Below are 20961 nucleotides of genomic sequence, written 5' to 3'. Positions count from 1 at the left end.
AATCCTTATCAAAATCCTGATGATGTTTTTTGCAGAAATAGAAAAAGCCATCCTAAAATTCACATGGAATCTCAGAGGACCCAGAAATAGTCAAAACAGTCTAAAAAAAAAAAAAAAAAAAAAGCCCAAAGCTGTAGGACTCACACTCCTGATTTCAAAACTGCAACAAGTCTACAGTAATTAAAACAGTGTGGTACTGGCATAAACATAGACATATAACTAATGAAATAGAATAGACAGTGGAAATTATCCCTCACATGTATGATCAAATGATTTTTAACAAGGGTGCCAAGACCATTCAATGGGGAAAGGACAGTGTTTTCAATAAATGATGCTGGGAAAACTGGATGTCAACATGTAAAACAATGAAGTTGGACCCTTACTTATGCCACATACAAAAATTAACTGGAAATGGATCAGAGATCTAAATATAAGACCTAAAATACTAACACTCTTTTTAAAAATATGACAAAATCTTCACAACAATGAATTTGGCAAATCATTTCACAGATGAATTCAATCAAACATGAAAGAAATAATACTGATCTTCCACAAACCCTTTCAGAAAATAGAGAAGGGAATATTTCTCAACTCATTTTATAAGGCCAGCAAAATCCTGATACCAAACCTTGACATAGACAAGAAAGGAAAATTATAGACAAAATCTTAGCAAATCAAAATCAGCAAGATATAAAAAGTATGATACATCATTACTAAATGGGATTTATTGAGGAATGTAAAGTTGGCTTAACACTTGAAAATCAATCAATGGAAAAAGAAAAAGAATCAATGGAATTCACACCATTAAAAGGGTACATACACGGTATCTACATTTATAAAACCTCACCAAATTATACATTATAGATCTGGGCCTTTCACTTTGTGTACAGGTTGCCTTAACTGGACAAATAGGAACACTTTTACACTGTTGGTGGGACTGTAAACTAGTTCAACCATTGAGGAAGACAGTGTGGCGATTCCTCAAGGATCTCGAACTAGAAATACCATTTGACCCAGCCATCCCATTACTGGGTATACACCCAAAGGATTATAAATCATGCTGCTATAAAGACACATGCACACGTATGTTTATTGCGGCACTATTCACAATAGCAAAGACTTGGACCCAACCCAAATGTCCATCAATGATAGACTGGATTAAGAAAATGTGGCACATATACACCATGGAATACTATGCAGCCATAAAAAAGGATGAGTTCACGTCCTTGGTAGGGACATGGATGAACCTGGAAACCATCATTCTCAGCAAACTATCACAAGAACAAAAAAACAAACACCACATGTTCTCACTCATAGGTGGGAATTGAACAATGAGAACACATGGACACAGGAAGGGGAACATCACACACCGGGGCCTGTCGTGGGGTGGGGTGAGGGGGGAGGGAAAGCATTAGGAGATATAACCAATGTAAATGACGAGTTAATGGGTGCAGCACACCAACATGGCACATGTATACATAGGTAACAAACCTGCACGTTGTGCACATGTACCCTAGAACTTAAAGTATAATAATAAAAAAAAAGAAAAACAATAAGGTACACCTTAATTCTAGGCCACATACCAAAACAGACTGGTTGTCTTTTCAAGACCACTCCCAGTGCGTGACCATAACATCATATCCTCATCATAGACGAACACATCTTTCTCTAATCTAATGTAGTAGATGTCAATTCATCTAGCTTATCCAAAAGCAGTTGTAAGTAACTGGAATGCAAATATTAGAAGCAAGAGGAAGAGGGAATCAGAACATGCCCCTGTTTCATCCTATTCCCAGTTTTCACTGATGGATTAAAAGTTCAGTGCTCCCTACCCAGACTCTCTTGGGAGTTTGGTGACTCCTTAGAAGAGCAGACCTCCCCTGGGTGTTATAGTTCCTATCTGATTGTGATCATTTAAATAGCCCTATTACTTCATAGTAACATGTCTGATTCCAACATTGTGGTGCCAAGGGCTTTCTGGCAGGACTTTTACTTGTGAAATTAACTCAGCCTGGAGGTCCCATACCTCTTAGATAATGTAATATAAGGACTCTAATCTAGAAACTTTTCAACCGAAAACAACAAATATCTGACTGAGTTTTAGGTTTTAGAGAATCAAAGATTTTTGTGACATTTTTAATACCCCTCAAGTCATGTTTTGTTTTTATGCCACATTTTCTTCAGGATCACTTATTTACACTCAGGGAAAATAATTTTTTTATCATATAATTTGAAAAGCTCCAACATTAAATAACTGAATCAAGTTGGAATCTGCATTAGGTCACAGGTTTTCCTTTTTTTATTTTTTGTTTTTCATTTACTTAAAAATTGTAGCGTTCCTACTAAGTGTGCTAAGCACTTCAAGACAACAAAGATTAAAGTGCTGAAAGAGTTCCAAATTTAGAAAGCTTAAAACTAGTACAGGATCAGGCTGGGCAAGGTGGCTCATGCCTGTAATCCCAGCACTTTGGGAGGCCGAGGCGGGTGGATCACGAGGTCAGGAGATCAAGACCATCCTGGCTAACACGGTGAAACCCTGTCTCTACTAAAAATACAAAAAAATAAGGCGGGCGAGGTGGCGGGCACCTGTAGTCCCAGCTACTCGGGAGGCTGAGGCAGGAGAATGGCGTGAACCAGGGAGGCAGAGCTTGCAGTGAGCCAAGATCACGCCACTGCACTCCAGCCTGGGTGACAGAGCGAGACTCCATCTCAAAAAACAAAAACAAAAACAAAAAACTAGTACAGGATTGGGAGGCTGAAAGGCGGGCGGATCACGAGGTCAGGAGTTCAAGACCAGCCTGACCAATATGACGAAATACAGTCTCTACTAAAAATTAAAAAATTAGCCGGGAATGGTGGTGCACACCTGTAGTCCCAGCTACTCAGAAGGCTGAGGCAGGAGAATCGCTTGAACCCAAGAGGCGGAGGTTGCAGTGAGCCAAGATGACGCCACTGCACTCCATCCTGGGCGACAGAGCGAGACTCTGTCTCAAAACAAACAAACAAACAACAACAACAACAAACAACAAAAAAAACTAGTACAGGAAATAAGACGTGTACCTAAATGACGGGCATGCATGGCAGAAAGTGAGAGATAACAGAGTTCTCCAGAATTCCTACCCAGCTGGGAAGATAAGAGAGTTTTATGAAAGTGGCATTTGACTTGGGCCATAAAGGCTTAAAAGGATTTTAATATGGAGACCAAGGAAGAGGAGACTTGTTCTTGGAAAACTAAGGGTGGAAAGACAGTAGGACTCGGGATTGAGAGTCTGAATTCAATTGGCAGCAAGAAGCCATTGGAAGACCCTGAGGACCATCCTGATACAGTATGACATTTCTAAAGTATACATCTAAGAGACAGATAGTCACAGTGAACCAAGAAGCAGAGAGACTTCTGTCGGTTTGCTAACTAGTCCTCTAAAATCTATTTTCTGAAACGGTCTATTGTCAAGTAAATTATACTTTAAAATATCTCTAGGCTTCCATTTAATGTTCATCCAAACTGGCATTTAAAGCACGACAATAGGAAATGCTCTCTATGTGAAAAGGAGCTGAATAAACGTGCTGAGAGCTCCCAGCTCACTAGAAATTCAGGTGAACAGCACAAAGATCTTATTTGCATATGAGGGATCCAGAGAGCCTGTGCAGGGACCCTGGGTTTGGAGGAGACGCTTGTCAAGAGGTGCTGAGAACCCCCCACAAAGGAGGGACTCACACTCATTCCCAGAGGCCTGGGTGAGAGTCCATGGGGTCCCCGTGCAGCTGTGACTGTGGGAGGCAGGGCTAAGTGGCCCCTCACTCACCGGTAATGTAGAAGGCCTTGTAACGCTCCAGGCGGACAGTCTGCAGGGCTCCAAACTCTCCAGCTGCCCCGCTGTTGGGGTGGAACAGCACCTGAGAAAGGGTGGCAGAGCTTACTAATAGAAAAATTGGCAGAACTCGGTGACTCATGCCTGTAATCCCAATACCTTGGGAGGTCGAGGCAGGAGGATCACTTGAGCCCAGGAGTTTGAAACCAGCCTGGGCAACACAGCAAGACCCCTCCCTACAAAAAAATACAAAAGTTAACCAGGCATGGTGGTGCACACCTGTGGTCCTAGCTACTTGGAAGCTGAGGTGAGAGGATTGTTTGAGCCTGGGAGGTCAACGCTGCAGTGAGCTATGATCATACCACTGCACTCCAGCCTGGGTGATAGAGCAAGATCCTGTCTCGAAACAGCAAAAGAAAATAAAACATGCTAGATGATGCTAGATGCTCCCTGGAACATATTACTGTCTTTTTCAGGGTCTGGTCTCCCTATCCCTGTGCCCAAACACACACTGACAGATACAAGCCTGGAGTCCACACCAGTCAACTCCAGGGAGCCTGTGAAGTTGTTATTTTGCTGGTTAATTGATGGGAGTGGGTTACAACTCTGGAAGAGTAGGCAAAAGGTCTCACTAGGTAGGTCAGATTTCTAGGCCTGAAACCTGCTATGTAATTTGCAAAGTCCACAACAAAATGCAAATCAGGGATACCTTGTTCACAAACTTAAAATTTCATGATGACCACGGCAGAGCTTTAAACCAAGCACAGGGTCCCTCCAAGTGCAGGGCTCTGTGTGTGGGGGGCACCGGTCACAGGCCCACAAGGCCACCCTGCCTGAGTTCCAACCCCTCAGGGTCAGGATGGGCCCTGGGGACTTACTTGTTTTACAAGTATTTCCAAGGGTTCTGATGCAGGTGACCCTCAGCTGTCTTTGAAGAAAGGCTTCTTCAGCATCAAGTCAATGTTCCAACTCTCCCTTGAGCAAGGATGGTACAAAAGAAGGCATCCTTGATTTCCGCAGAATCGGGCACAGCCCAGACTCTGGTCACAGACGCCCACAGCTATGACTCAATCCGACTATATTTGGACTGAGGAAATCTTTCCTCATCAGGTCACAAATAAAAGAATTACCGTACAGAATGGAAACACCTAAATCAGGGTTCTCGAGGGAAGGATGTGAAAGAAAACAAAAGGCCAGTGTCCTTGGTAGGTTGGTGGGTCTGGGCTAAAAGCATGAGACTGCCTTGGTATGAATCACAACCGTATATAGGGCTGGAAAGGCACTTACATGATTCAAAGTTTCCACACGAGACTTAAGAAAAAAATGAGAAACATCTGTTGGAGCAGTAAACAGCTGTCCCCCGGAGTTTCACAGCTCTGAGAGGATGCCGCCAAGGTGGGGCTCCTCCCCACACCTGCGGCTTCCAGGTTCTCGTGACAATCCCTGCACAAACCCAGGGCGCGCATGATGATAGCAGGTTCCTTCCAAACAGGAAAAGAAGTCGTAACTGAAAACCCTCACTTCTTCCATCCCTGCAGAAAGCCAAGCCTCTTCACCACAGGAGACTGTTTTGTTTCCTTCTTGAGACAGCAGGAAGTGGGAGACTTGGAAAATCTATTGTCAACTGATATACGATGCACGCGGACATGCAGAAGATGGGAGTGAAGTTGCTGCTTCAGATCAGTCACAGTACTTGCGTCTCAGTCACAGAAATTCCATGAGGGTGGGCTGCTATATTCCCACTATTTATGTGGCGTTACCAGAGGCAACTTCCAAAATCCACGAGGAAGCAAAACTGTGGGATGGCTCATTCTCAGAAACATAGATGGACTTTGGAGAACTTGTCTATGCATTTTTTTTGTTTGTTTGAGAAGACCCATTATGGCTTTCTTGTTTATATCAATATAGGAAGGAAGCTGTCAAAAGTACACATGAATCACAGCTCTCCAGATGCCTGGTTCAAATTTCAAAGATGACTTTATCTTCTGCAAACTTGTTTTGCCTTCCTGGTGGCCTTTCTTGCTCTATTTTATCTTGTTTTGTTTTTTAAGCACGAGAGCATTCCTTTACCTTAAGTCCCACAGGGTGCTGATATAGCATCCCCTGAAGGTGGGCTTCTTCTCCATTCAGGTGGGGATGCACAGCTACAGCCTCCAAAGGGGGTGGATGGGGGTGGTCAGTTTGCCAGCCACGCCAGATGACATCTCTCGCCACTAGGGGCCTCCCTAAGAGAAGTGATCAGCGTTCTTTCTGGACATTAAAACTCAGCTTGTTTCCTCGATGTATGGCCTCCAGGGGCGTGTCAAGCATTTGATGACCCACAGCAGCCCCAGACTGTGTGAGGCTGGGCAGATGCAGAGCTGTTAGGGGAAACGTTCCTTCGTTGACAATTTCTGGACCTGATCATGACAACCTGGGGCTAAGACACGACCTGACCAGTGATGATGTTACCACCTTCAGCTTCCATCTGGGAGCCAGGAAAGCACAAAGTGGGACCTTTGGTTCTAGGCTGTGCAGCCCTCCCCTTCCCAGCCCTCATCTCTCTCCTGGTGCCCCTCACTGCCTAGACACAGACCCATCAAGATCAGAAGCAGGAGGTTGAGCTGATGCAAGAATATGCAGCATGGTGTCAGCTGATGTGGTTTCGAACATCACAGAGACAACGTCCCTAGAGGTTGCTGGAGTGGGTTGTGAGAAGACCATCCAGTGTGGAACTGGAGCTCATTGTGCACATGACACCTCTCAACTCTCTTGCTCCTCTCCTTAACTCTTGGTTACTTGGTTTGCAATAGGGAAGGACTGGATTGCTGAGAAGCATTGGCATATTGTTCCCAGTTGAATATCCAGGAGTTACTTTGAGCTTCTAGAACTGAAAGTGTTTCTAAACCAACTCATATTGGAATCCTTGTAAGCCCAGGATGTATCTGAGGGTGAACACAAATTGTGCTTATTTTAAAATACATATGTACACATGTATGCATATGTTACAGACATATGCATCTGTGTACACATATGTATGTGTATATTGATATATGCATATATATACACGTATGTATACATGTGCATACACCTGCATATAAATATGTGTGTATATCTCTATTTATGTGCCTGGACATATGCATATGTATACATGTATGTGTGTGCATGCATGTGTATACATATATGTGCATAGACATGCATAGGCATACATATGTACACATGTATAGTGTATAAACATAAGCATGCATATGTATGTTTATATAGACACATGCATATGCGAACATGTGTATGCATGTGTGGTATAAGCATGCATATGCATACATATGTATGCATGTATGTATACAGATGTGGATATGCATACATGAATATACATACATGGTACATAAACATGCATATGCAGCCCAGGCACAGTGGCTCACGCCTGTAATCCCAGCACTTTGGGAGACCGAGGCAGGCAGATCTCCTGAGGTCAGGAGTTTGACACCAGCCTGGCCAACACAGTGAAACCCTGTCTCTACTAAAAATACAAAAATTATCTAGGCGTGGTGGTGAACGCCTGTAATACCAGCTACTTGGGAGGCTGAGGCAGGAGAATCGCTTGAACCCAGGAGGTGGAGGTTGCAGTGAGCCAAGATTGTGCCGCTGCACTCCAGCCTGGGCGACAGAGTGAGACTCCTCTCAAAAAATAAAATAAAATTAAATTAAATTAAAACAAAACATGCATATGCATACACGTCTAGAATATGCATGCACACGTATAACACACATGTATAGACGTATGCACACATATGCATACATGTAAGTATGTATAGAATATTGTGTGTGTGTGTATATATATATAATTCCTCATATTCTTACCTTCAAGCCTCCCCCATAGCTATTCCAAATTTGAGACAATTTACTCTTATTTCCTTAGGTCTATGACTTTGCTTTGATAGAGAGGACTGACTAGAGAAGACCAAACCCAAATTCAGGTCCAGCAACTACCCATGTTGTCCTCAAACTTCAGAATCTTATCTCAAGTGTCTTCACTGACACTGCAGGCATGCTCTGGGAGACTGAGTGTGACCCACAGGTGCCAGCCCCGTGTGCTCTTAACCTTGAAGATACCATCAGCTGCTTCCCACAAGCAGTAAGCATGGCTGTTTCTTTCTGGGCCATGGGGTGTGGTTAGGGAGCAAATCAGTCCTGACTCCAGCTGCATTAACCACGCCATCATACCTCCCCGTGACGATGCTGTGACTTGTATCTGGTTTTCCAATCTGGTTCCTGGGCCTAACCCTGCTGGGCACTAGTTAGGATGGGGTCTCTACGAGCCTGCGCAAAACTCCAGTTAGAGCAAGAGCAGAGCTCTCCCGTCTGAGAAAGGAAGTTAGTACATGAAGGAGCTGGCTCCCACAGGCAGTACCGACAACGTCAAGGAGAGCACAGTCCTTGAAGCACTTCCTGATGACCCCAATTATTCCTAGCAGCCATGGTAATAAACACTCCGGAGCACCTCTCCAATGACGTCTGTGACAACCCTCCAGGGTCACATACTGCTAACTTCCAACCTCAAGGCGGAAACCATCTTCCTGCCTGGCTGCTCCTGCTTAGGGAGAAGGGCTAGGCCTGGAAGGGTCTGCAGCTCTAGGGGGCAGATATTCTGGGGAGAAGCAGGACTTCAGAACACCTCTCAGGCTTCATCCAACAACCCCTAAAAACTGCATTAATGTGCACAGAAGAACCGATGGCCCATAGAAGACCCATGTTCTGGTTTGCTGGGGGAGGCTGGGTGGGAAGGGCAGCTTTGGTAACTACCAGCCACAGGACACTTCTGTACATTTGAGTCACTTCCATGTGACCCTTAGCAAAGACACAAATAGACCCTTTGATGTGTGGGTCCCTCACCAAGAAGCCATGCATTTGTAGGGCGTTGCAGAGGGGACTCTGTGCTCCTTCCGCCTCCTTGCCTCCTCCTGCTTCCTCTTCCTTTTGGTGAAAGGAAAACACAGGGAAAAGACAAGGAAAGGCCATGAGGCCTGACATTTCCTGGCTGTCACTGCCAATGAGTGCTTCAGAGTGCAAACAGGGGACATTGAGGAGGTGATGCTGGGAAGTGGAAGCCCAGAGCCATTGCCAAGGTCTGCTTGGTCAAGAACAGGCTGCAGGTCGGATACAGTGGCTCACACCTGTAATCCCAGCACTTTGGGAGACCAAGGCGGGCTGATCACTTGAGGTCAGGAGTTCAAGACCAGCCTGGTCAAGATGGTGAAACCTCACCTATACTAAAGATACAAAAATTAGCTGAGCATGGTGGCATGGGCTCGGGAGGGTGTAGTCCCAGGTACTCGGGAGGGTGAGGCAGCAGAATCGCTTGAACCCAGGAGGCGGAGGTTGCAGTGAGCTGAGATCACACCACTGCACTCCAGCCTGGGTGACAGAGCAAGACTCCATCTCAAAAAAAAAAACAAAAAAAAAAAACAGGCTGCCAAGAGTGTGCTGAGCCCTCTGGAGCTGGGAGAATGTTGGATGTAAGGCCCTTGCTGGACCTGCTGTCCAAAGGGTCTTTCACTCATTTGTTCATTTGTTCCTTCATTGGTTCATCCAGTTTGCATGGACTGAAATGCTGGCTGACTGCAGGCAGTGAGAACTCGGAGCTCAACTCAACAGCTCAGATTCTTGCCCTCAAGAAGCTTCCATTCTAGAGGGTGAGGCTCACAATAAACAAGTTGCAGACACTAGTCAGTCATCTCATCTAACAAAAATACTGGGTAGCTATGTTATTAAATTAAATACATGCAGGAAAAGAAATTGCCCATTATAGGGAATGAGAACCTATATACACCCACCCTAAGCCAAACTGTTAAATATAAATCTGGACTGGGGGTTGGGGGTAGAAAGAGGCTCATCTCAAATGCTTCACCTTTTGGGGTCTGAACCAGCCACTTGCTGGCGGCAACCTCTGCCTCCCGGGTTCAAGCGATTCTGCTGCCTCAGCCTCCCAAGTAGCTGGGACTACAGGCCCATGCCACCATGCTCAGCTAATTTTTGTATCTTTAGTATAGGTGAGGTTTCACCATCTTGGTCAGGCTGGTCTCGAACTCCTGACCTCAAGTGATCAGCCCGCCTTGGTCTCCTAAAGTGCTGGGATTACAGGCGTGAGCCACTGTATCCGACCTGCAGCCTGTTCTTGACCATCTTCTGATGATGGTTCTGTCTGCACAGAGGTGAGAGGCAGCAGACCAGCCTCCTAAAGAGCCTACATGTGGGCAAGTACCTCCTCCACTTACCCTGTGCCCAGGCTGTGACCGGCCAAAGAGCACCTCGGAGACGTCCACACCATCAAAGCGCCGTCCTTGAGGTAAGCTGGCCTGGGCCAGGGCTACCACAGTTGGAAAAATGTCCAGCACGCTGCGGAAATAACAAGACTGAGTTGTCCCCAGCTCTTCTGACTCGCTCCCTGACCCTGCCGTGTCAACCCCCACCTGAACCAGCCCAGAGCAAGCACCCACAGCCTCTCCTATGGGCTGGCTTAACTTCTCTACCTGCTTGTTTTTCCTTTCAGTTCCACCTGGATTTCTGCTCCTACAAGAGGCAGAATGGTGCAGCGGTTCAGCACCCAGGCTCTGCAGCCAGCTGTTGCCTGGGCTCAAATCCCAGCTCTGCCACATATCTAGCTTCTCAATGCCTCAGTTTTCAATTCTCTAAGATGGGTATGATATTTTAATAATATAGTAGTCCCCCCTTATCAGAGAGAGACACATTCTAAGGGCCTCAGTGAATGCCTGGAACCTTGGATTGTACCAAACCTGATTGCCATAAATCAAACATGTTTATTCTTAATTTTTTTAGAGACAGAGTCTTGCTCTGTCATCCAGGCTGGAGTGCAGTGTGTGATCATAACTCACTGTAACCTTGAACTCCTGGGCTGAAGTAATACTCGTCTGACTCCAAGAGTAGCTGGGACTACAAGCATGTACCACCACACCTACAAGATTTCTTTGTTGTTTTATTGATTTTTATTTATTTATTTATTTATTTTTTTGTAGAGACAAGGTCTTGCGATGTTGCCTAGGCTGGTTTCAAACTCCTGGCTTCAGGTGATTCTCCTGCCTCAGCCTCCCAAAGTGTTGGGATTGCAGACATGAGCCACTGCGCCCGATCAGAACACGTTTCTGTTCATGTCTTCCACTCACAAATGTAATGACTTTTCCATCTTAACTAAGTACTTACCATGAACTGTGGCCATAACTTTTGCAGTTTGAGGTGCAACAGCAAAATTAGCACAAATTTCTTTTTCCTTCTTTACAATTTCATGGATAGGAAATTCATTCTTGGTGGCTTATGCCTGTAATCTCAGCACTTTGGGAGGTCAAGGTGGGTGGATCAGTTGATTTTGTTCTGACATGAACAAAATCCACCAAAATGTGAATAAAGGCTGAACAATGGCCATGTGAACAATGGCCGGTTTGAGACCAGCCTGGGCAATAGGGCAAAATCCCATCTCTACCAAAAAAAACAAAAAGAAAAAACAAAAAAATAGAAGATTCATTCTCACCATAGATCTTAACAACCTCAGCATATAATTTCTTTTTCTTTCCCTTTTTTTTTTTTTTGAGATGGAGTCTTGTTCTGTTGCCCAGGCTGGAGGTGCAGTGTTGCAACCTTGGCTCACTGCAGCCTCTGCCTCCAGGGTTCAAGCGATTCTCCTGCATCAGCCTCCTAAGTAGTTGGGTCTACAGGTGCATGCCAACACACCCAGCTAATTTTTGTATTTTTAGTAGAGATGGGGTTTCGCCGTGTTGGCCAGGTTGGTCTCAAACTCCTGACCTCAAGTGATCCACCTGCCTCGGCCTCCCAAAGTGCTGAGATTACAGGCAGGAGCCACTGCACTCAGCCTTCTTTCCTTATTAAGTCAAGAACTTCACCTTTCACTTAAAGGAAGCACATTTCGGCTTCTCTTTGGCATATTCGAATTACCCACATCACTGCTCTTGCACGTTGGGGCCATTAGTAAGTAAAAATAAGTGTGACTGGAACACAAGCACTGCTATATCTCGACAATCAATCTGATAACTGAGATGGCTACTAAGTGACTACCAGGCAGGTAGCGTATACAGCGTGGATCCACCGGACAAAGGGCGGACTCGTCCAGGGCGTTACAGGGTGGGTGGGATGGTGCCAGACTTCACCACACTCCTCAGAATGTGCACAATTTAAAACTTAGATTCATTTCTGTAATTTTTCATTTAATATTTATAGACCATGGTTGATCACAGGTAACTAAAACTGCAGAAAGTGAAACCGTGGATAAAGGAGGACTGCTGTATTGGTGCCAGCTCACAGGTGGTTGTGTGCATGAAACACACATGTAAGGCACAGAGAAGAAGACCTGGCACTCAGAAAGTCCTCACTGGATGTTTGTGTCTTAATGATTCACAAGGGTAATCCCTGTGAGCCCACCTAAGAACTGAGGCGTTCTACCTGTCACCAGCTTGGTGACAGCCATTGGCTTAGAGGAAACAGTGTGGGACAGGTGTCCACAAGAGAATATTCACTGCCTTTTCCATTAGGCGGGTCTCTGTGTTATAAAAGATCTAGTTTTTGTTCAAAATGCCATGATATGTGGAACATTCCACCGGCTTTATTTTAGCTCTTTTAGTCCATTACAAAGTAGTGAATGCGGCCAGGTGCGGTGCCTCACGCCTGTAATCCCAACACTTTGGAAGGCTGAGGTGGGTGGATCACCTGAGGTCAGAAGTTTGAGACCAGCCTGGCCAACATGGCGAAACCCTGTCTCTACTAAAAATATAAAAATTAGCTGGGTGTGGTGGCACACGCCTGTAATCCCAGCTACTTGGGAGGCTGAGGCAGGTGAATGGCTTGAACCTGGGAGGTGGAGGTTGCAGTGAGCCGAGATTGCACCACTGCACTCCAGCCTGGGTGAAAGAGCAAGACTCTGTCTCCAAAAATAAATAAATAAATAAAAATAGCGAATGTTTATGGTTGAAAAAATGAGAGCATCCGGAAATATAAAAGAGAGAACAACACACACTTAGTCCATCACCCAAAGGCAGCCATTGTTCATATTTTAGTGGATTTTGTTCATGTGACTTTTTTTTAAGTCATATGGTGCAAGGTTACTCTACCTATGGCACATCTTCCTCCAGCCTGTTGTGCTCATGTTGGGGGAAAAAAGTCTTCCGCAAGAACAGAGAGGCTGCCCCTTCAACAGAGCCGTTTATATGATGGCCAGGCCAACTGGAAGTCAGCGGGGCTTACTGGAGCCAGGAGGGCTGAGCTAATGCGAAGCTGGACTTTCCCAAGAAAGAGGCCCTGGTAGCCCTGAGGCTGGGCGCAGCAGCAGAGTTCAGGCTTTCGCATGCACCATTCATCAGGAAGCCTCCAGGGCCACAAATCCCCACTTTCCCCAATCTGATATCTGAGGGGCTGGGGGGATATCCGCCCTCTAAGGGGGCTGCAGAAAGGACCTGCTCTGAGGCTCCGTCTCCTGTTGGCCATCTCCTTCTCCTCTCCAGGGCTCTACCTACAACCCCAGGCAGAATCTCTCCATTGACTACAGTGCAGAATGTTTCTGTTTGCCTTTGGCTCCCACAGTCCATGGAGCTGGTGGCTTATCTCTTAAGAAACAAGCTCCAGGACCTGGCACCCCACTCTGATGCAAAGTCAAGAATGCAGAGTCAGCACTCGCAGAGCACGGAACAGTCCAGAAACCTGTCCAGAGTCCAAGGTTCCTGCCACATACCGGAAAGCAAAGAGGACCACAAAGCAGTCTGAAAAGGCCGCGGTGGTTTGGAGCTGTTTGCTCGAGTTTTCTCTAAATTGTGCCCCTAAGAGAGATCAGCGTCACAGATGGGTCAAATCAGTCAGCAAGAGAAACAGGATCTGCGTTCGATTTTGGAAAGTATTGTGTACTTTCTTTTTCCATCTGATTTCCCCCCACTACTCTCTCCTGAGGTTTAGCATCCCAATTATAGAGCACTAAGTCTAATGTTCACGGAATCCTAATGTCTCAGACTTTGGCAAGAACTTCAGAGGTACCTAGTCCACCTGGAGCACAAAGAAAGCCTCTCGCCCATGAGAAAAGCTTCAACATGTCCAGTGACTCAGGCCACTCGAGGCAGCCCCATCCCGATTTGGCAAGCTTGGGCTGTCAAATAGTCCTTCCTTAAGTAACAGAAAAAGCCAAGCCCAAGAGCTTAGCCCTGGAAGAGGGAGACGGTCCCTGGCACATGCAGCCCAAAGTCATCCCAGGCCTGGGCCCCCAGCCTACATGAGAACTTGAAGAAAGCATCCACCCTACTAAGGCTACCAAGGGCACCCCAGCTACTCCAAACCTCAAACCCCACCAAAGAAATTGGGCCTGGGAGTCTTTAAAACCTCGGAGAAAGAGACAAAATAAATACAAACCTATACTTCAAAGCTTCCCCTGTTCGTTTCGGTGCCCGGCTTTTGGCAGAGCCACACTGCAGCTTTCATGGGACCTGGGCACTTCTGCCTTCGTGGGTCTCTTCCTTCATTAAAAAAAAAAAAAAGGACCGGGCACAGTGGCTCACAGTTGTAATCTCAGCACTTTGGGAGGCTGAGGAGGGTGAATCACCTGAGGTCAGGAGTTCCAGACCAGCCCGGCCAACATGGTGAATCCCTGTCTCTACTAAAAATACAAAACAAATTAGCCAGGCATGGTGGCAGGCACCTGTAATCCCAGCTACCCGGGAGGCTGAGGCAGGAGAATCACTTGAACCCAGGAGGTGGAGGTTGCAGTGATCTGAGATCGTGCCATTGCACTCCAGCCTGAGTGACAAGAGGGAAATTCCATCTTAAAAAAAAAATTCCAAAATTCCATGGACTCTGGCACTATGCCTCATGGGTCTGATGGAGAAGTGGTTCCCAGCCTCTGATGGGATGAAACCCCACTTCAGTGGGCTTTTTGGTTGTGACAAGGGCAGCCATGAACCCACTCGTGATAACAGGAGAAGGCTGAGATTGCTCTGCACAATGGCACAAAAGGCTGTCCTCAGAGTGGGCAGGGTGACATCTTTGCAGGTTGCATTGCCCTTATGAAAATATGTGCTTTTTCTTTCCTGTGGCTCTGGTCACCCCAGGCTCTGAAGGTTGTTCGTAGGAAGGGTGCATATTTGTGTTCTTATCCAAGGGGCTGCTGAAGGATCCTAGGAGTGGAGATGGGGCAGTGGTGGCGAGGAGGATGCAGAAAGGCCTGACCTGCCAGGCAGATCATCTGAGGTCAGGAGTTCGAGACCAGCCTGGCCAACATGATAAAACCCTGTCTCTACTAAAAAGACAAAAATTAGCCGGGCATGGTGGCGCATGCCTGTAGTCCCAGCTACTGGGGAGACTGAGGCAGGAGAATCACTTGAACCCGGGAAGCAGAGGTTGCAGTGAGCCGAGATCACATCATTGCACTCCAGCCTGGGTGACAAGAGTGAAACTCCATCTAAAAAAAGAAAGAAAGAAAGAAAGAAAGAAAGGCCTGGCCTGCTGGACCCCAAGGTGTGCAGGTGGGGGGTAGGTAAAGGGGAGTGGAAGGCCAACAGGGGGCTCGTTCCAGAAGGAACCACATGGACTTCAGGATGCATAGTATGGGAACTGAGGTGCTGTGCTGGGCAGCCCTGGGGTGGAAGGCATCCCAGGATGAAGGCAGGGGACAGAGAAGCTGAGAACGTTTTATCTGGAAAAAAGGTGGATCTGATCTAAGGACAGGAAGCGAGAGGCAGGAGAGGTTTGCTTGGGGATGGATTGGAGGCGCTTGGACCTGGACAGAGACAGAGGCTTTGTGTTCATCTCTCCCGAATGAAGGCAAGAAGAGAACTTCCTCTGAAGAAGAGGAAGGGACAGGGAACAGTAGGGATCATCCCTAGGCCGTGGGAGCAGTACTTTCTTAGCACTGAGTTGTAAATTTCTTTCTGCATTTAGTTTTAACTTTTTTCCTGCATTGTTCTTCCCTGTCATTATCCCCGAGAAAAGTGAGGTGCCCACGCCTTCCTGGTCTCAGCCGTGGAGACATGAGGGGCAAGCCTATGCTCACATTTGATGGGCAGCTTCCCTGGCACCCTCATCCACACACGAGTCCCTCTTAGAAGCCAGCATAGCCCCAGCCACATTGATTTCAGGGAGAACCGGGGTTGCAGGGGTCCCAGAGCATCAGGGGATGCCCCCCAGCAAACCAAGCGCTTCTTACAGAGTAAAGAGAGCTGCCAAGAGTGGGGGTGGGGGTGAGACCACCTCCACCAACCACCACTACCCACTGCCAGATCCAGGGAGGAGGAGAGGACTTGGAAAGGCGACATGTGGTTAGGCCCTGCCTGTAGGTGACAGCTAAACCACAAGACACTGATGTGAGCACAGCCTCCTCGTAGCTTTTACTTCCAAGACCGGTGCCTTCGGACAGGCCAGAACCAGCTGAATCCCTCTTCCACACACCTGACTGTCTTTCAGAGCCACGAGGTAGCCCAGGGAGTTACCTCTTCTGGCTACACAGCAGCTTTAGCTGTTTTTCTTTTTTTTTTTTTTTTTTTTTTTGAGACAGAGTCTCACTGTCGCCCAGGCTGGAATGCAGTGGTGCGATCTCGGCTCACAGCAACCTCCGCCTCTTGGGTTCAAGCAATTCTCCTGCCTCAGGCTCCTGAATAGCTGGGATTACAGGCACGCGCCACCACGCCCGGCTAATTTTTGTATTTTTAGTAGAGACGGGGTTTCACCATGTTGGTCAGGCTGGTCTCGAACTCCTGACCTCATGATCCGCCCGCCTCGGCCTCCCAAAGTGCTGGGATTACAGGCGTGAGCCACTGCGTCCGGCCTTAGCTGTTTTTCAAATAAGATTGTTTCAAGTCCTTTTTGCCATTCTGGTCACCTCATAATTGCCCCAGTTCATCTCTGAAGGATCGATCCTCATTCGGAGCAGAGGTAGGGGTCTCCCAGCTCAGAGGCAGAGCAGGCCCTTCCCCTTCTTGTATATGGCTAAGAGAGCTTCCGCTAAAGCCGTAGTTCTCAGCCAGAGTGAGTTCATTCTCCCCGGGGACATTTGGCACTGTCTGGAAACGTTTTAATTGTACAACTTAGGGGGTGGGGTGGGGACACGATTGGCATCTAATGGGTAGAAGCCAGAGCTGCTGCTAAACATCCTATAAAGCGCACAGGACAGTCCTCCAAAACGAAGAGTGATCCAGCCCAAAATGCCGACCACGCCACGGTTGGGAAAGCCTGCAGCACAGTTTTAAGTTAAAACTACTGAAACCTTTTCCCATGTGCTGCCAAAGCCCTGGCCTCCTGAAGGTAAGGTAGCCCCTAAACAAAGAGCTTTCTGTTTGGTCTGCTCATGACTGCCATCTCCCCAGTCCCTGGAGTAATGATTGACCCATAGTTGGACATGGCAATAAATATCTGTGGAATAAATGCATTTTCCCCATCCTGTACTTGTGTCTGTGGAGGCAGGTCACGTGCAAGACCCTTCTTTCATCTTATGACATCACCCAGGTACACACCGATATTAACACTGGTTATCTCTAAAACCAATGGGATCCATGTGAATGGATCCCCCGCCCCCTCTCCCACACATTCTCTTTCACTTTTCTGTATTCATATTTATATCAACTTGACCACTCTCTGATGCTCATAATTCCTCAGGGCCTCAAGGATATAGGTTTAAGGGACTCTGGCTTTAGCTCTTAGTGGCTTAAGGGAGTTATCTCTGATCTGGAAGATCTATATTCCTCAAGCAATGAAACAAGAGTAGGTGATATGCAGTCTGGGCGGAGGGTGCCGGGCTGGGCTCCCAACAACATGAAGCATTAGCATCAATGTCTTGAATTTGGATCATAGTACCATTCTCTGTCAAGCTGACCCTGAGGTGTCAAGGGAAAGAGAAACACACACACACAGCCTGTCCAGGCAGTAGGAAACTCCGCCCAAATTTGCTTAACATGGATTCATATGGGAAACAGCAAGAAGGTAAATCTATAGAGGTAAAACTGGCTGGCTGAAATCCAGCCTAATTTAACACCAAAAACTAGCCTTGGCTGTGTGTGATGGCTCATGCCTGTAATCCCAGTGCTTTGGGAGGCCCAGGAGGGAAGAGTGCTTGGGACCAGGAGTTCAACACCAGCCTGGGCAACATTAAGAGTCCCCATGCCTACAAAAAATTAAAAAATTAGCCAGGCATAGTGGTGCATGCCTGTAGTCCCAGCTACTTGGGAGGCTGAGATGGGAGGATTACACAAACCCAGGAGTTCAAGGCTGCAGTGAGCTATGATCTTGGCACTGCACTACAGTCTGGGCAACAGAGTGATGCCCTGTCTCTTAACAAAATAAATAAAATAAAAGGTATGTGTGTGTGTGTGTGTGTGTGTGTGTGTGTGTGTGTGTGATACACTATATATTAGGTTGGTGCGAAAGTCATTGCAGTTTTTGCTACTAAAAGTAATGGCAAAAACCGCAACAACTTTTGCACCAACCTAATGTATCTCCTAGGAGGTACCGATACGGTGTGTTGGTATTATCCTGGTACAATTCTGGGGCCCTCAGGCAGACACTGCCTTGGGTCACCAAACCATCCTCTCAGTCAGTTGTCTCCTCTAAGGCCCTACATTATGAATGAGATGAGGCAGTTTTATTATGGTTGACTGTAGGTGCAAACACCATTCTCTGATGAGAAGCCACTGGTTGGCTTTCTGTGAAGCAACTTGAGAGACGGCTGAGTTACTTGTCCATGTGCAGCCTGGCCCGTGAACACTTGGCCCCTCTTGATAAGCACTTTGACTACACCAAGTCAGCCCTATAAAAGCAGCCTGCCTGGCCCTTTTCCCAGGCAGCCTGACATCACAGATTCCAGGCTCTGCTGTTGTTGTCACACCTGCTGGTACCCGCTGACAGCACGCTGCCCCCTCCTGACTGTACAGGGCTGACCCGGAATTTCTGGGGGCCCCACAGGCTGCCAGGGGTGATGCCCACCCACCCCATACTTTGGCCCTGAAAGCTGTTTACCCTTTTCCCCTGGACTTTGAGTCTCTCCCCTCCTCCCCATTGGATCTAGGGAAGTCAGAGGGTGCCAATGAAGCTTGCCTGCCTCTACTCAGCTGTGTTCTTTACGCCAGAACTCATTAGGCTAATGGCAAAGAACCTTTGGAATTAGGAAATCGGTCTTTAACCAGCAGTTTTCTGAGCACATGAATGAGCACAGGGTTCTACGGAGGGTTCCCCTTGTTAGTGAACACAGGGCAGAACACAGAGAGGAAGGTCCTGTCTGAATTAGTGAAAAGTCCCCAGGATAAGTCATGGTTCCATAGCTGGGAAGATGTTGTTTTCACATAGACGCTGCACAGCCAAGTTCTTTGCCATGGAGATGGCCTCCTGGATCTGCCTTAAGGCGGCAATAAGAATAATGGTGAGACATCACATTTACCTGATGTGATGGGTCTGCAGTGAGCTATGCAGACACTCAGCTCATTAAGAAGCATCATGGCCAGAGGCAGGAGGAATGTCTTCACCTAAGGATTCATTATTTCCCTAATGGCCTGGAGGGGCCACCTTTCTTCTCCACCCTCCTCCAGGGAAAGTGGACATCTGGACTCCTTTCTTGGGGCCATCGGATTGCTAGAGACTAGCCGGCTTCTCACAGCCACCCCTAAGACACCTGCCTTAACCCCAAGGATGGAACAATTAGGTCTCAAAGGATCTATTGCCTCGGTCAGCTTGGCACAGGCTGAGAGGGAGATGCTGCTGCTGCCGCCTTTTCTGCACTCTCTCCAGCAGACACAGCCAGGACCCAATGCTGATGTATGTGAAACCAACCAATCCCTTCTTCACTCAGGTGTTATTCCCAGAAGATGGCTCGAGTCCCACTTCACTGTTTCTCCCTCCCCTCCCCTCCTCTCCCCTCCCCTCCCCTCGCCTCCCCTCTCCTTCCCTTCCCTCCCCTCCCCTCCCTTCTCTTCCCTTCCCTTCTTTTTAGAGATAGGGTCTTGCTATGTTGACCAGGATAGTCTCAAACTCCTGACCTCAGCAATCCTCCTGCCTCAGCCTCCCAAAGTGCTAGGATTACAGAAGCGAGCCTCCACACGTGGCCCCACTTCACTATTACTTTCATCACTTCTACAGTCAGAGTCTTGGAAGTGTCTGGGAACACCCGGCAAAGGCAAGTGGTGAATGACCTTCCTGAGGCCTCTAGCCACCCATGCCTCCATCTAGCCACCCATGCCTCCATCTAGCCACCCATGCCTCCATGACTTTTCTTGCTCTGGGCCCCAACATCTCAAGGTAGTTTTGGTCTCATACCTTAACAAGGCAGTGCTGGTGACATTAACTGGAACTCTGCCAGGCCAGTAAGCCAGTGCTGGGACCCGGTGCCCTCCTTCCCAGGTCGTCTGCTTGGCTGGACTTCCCCCTGTGAGAGGAGGGGAGGCAGCTGGTTCATCCATGGTGATAACTCGAGACTTCTTTTCAGCTAAGAGCTAGTCTCTGGGAGAACCCCTCTCTGAGTTTCCAATAACCCCAACAAAGGAATGACTTTTTTGGTAACCAGCTATTTCCCTCAACTAGCTAGTATCTTTCAAAATATGCTTTTTATTTTACTGGACTTCAGATGTAAAAAGTTGCCTCACTCTACTGAATCACCTCATTTTATTTTCTTCATGAGACCTTCCCCACTGTAAATTATTTTTTCATTTATTGATTTGCTTGTTTTGTGTCTCAACACCATGAGACTTCATCAGTCTCATGCACCTAAGACATAGTGGGGCTTAGCAAATCTTTGTTGAGTAAGTGAATTTCTCTTCCTGGTGATCATAATGTGACTGTCTGTTTAGGATGAAGAAATACAACTATTAAAGAAGAGAGAAAGAAGGAAACTTCTGCAGCTATTTGATCTGCTCAACATCCAAGAACCGATCTGGCATGGATTTTATGGCTTTATTTTGTTTTGCTTTGCTTTGTTTTTCCTTGAATTCATGAGTTGTTCTGATGTTATGGAGACAGTGTCAGTAATAGTTCCAACCTCTTGCCTCCTGGGGGAGGTAAGAAACAACTACGTGCAATCTATGAATTTCCACCTTGGTTATTAAAGGAATTATTTTTGTAACCATTAAGTCAAAAGTGACCACCAGTATAATGATAGCTAGCGGGCTGGAAGACATGAGGTCATGCTTGATGGAAACAT

At 47.0% G+C, this 20961-nt stretch overlaps 1 protein-coding gene and 1 pseudogene across 39 annotated transcripts in view, besides 1 other annotated feature; one reads left to right on the top strand and one right to left on the bottom strand.

Annotated features, from left to right (window-relative positions):
- Nucleotides 1-20961, bottom strand: part of ARSG (arylsulfatase G) — a 192850-nt gene that overhangs the window by 46766 nt on the left and 125123 nt on the right. For 21 of the 39 annotated variants that reach the window (XM_047435644.1, XM_047435645.1, XM_047435639.1 and 18 more), the window contains 3 exons: nt 20082-20190; nt 10061-10181; nt 3804-3894 (listed from right to left, as the gene is read on the bottom strand). In XM_047435644.1, coding sequence (XP_047291600.1) covers nt 3804-3894; nt 10061-10181; nt 20082-20190 — 321 coding nt within the window. Of the gene's footprint in view, nt 1-3803; nt 3895-5096; nt 6170-8678; nt 8760-10060; nt 10182-20081; nt 20191-20961 lie in introns of those variants that run through there. The other 18 variants (XM_047435632.1, XM_047435634.1, XM_047435637.1 and 15 more) reach the window with 3 other exon arrangements.
- Nucleotides 6087-6446: an enhancer, noted in NCBI's record as "active region_12648". NCBI's record gives its function as "activates an Ori minimal core promoter by ATAC-STARR-seq in GM12878 lymphoblastoid cells {active_cell/tissue: GM12878}" and the evidence as "EXISTENCE:reporter gene assay evidence [ECO:0000049][PMID:35858748]".
- TRUND-NNN5-1 (tRNA-undetermined (NNN) 5-1) lies at nt 10364-10438 on the top strand (annotated as a pseudogene).

Source organism: Homo sapiens, chromosome 17 (genome assembly GCF_000001405.40).
Source record: "Homo sapiens chromosome 17, GRCh38.p14 Primary Assembly".
In the NCBI taxonomy this organism is placed as follows: domain Eukaryota; kingdom Metazoa; phylum Chordata; class Mammalia; order Primates; family Hominidae; genus Homo; species Homo sapiens.
This window is presented reverse-complemented; position numbering and strand designations above follow the sequence as displayed.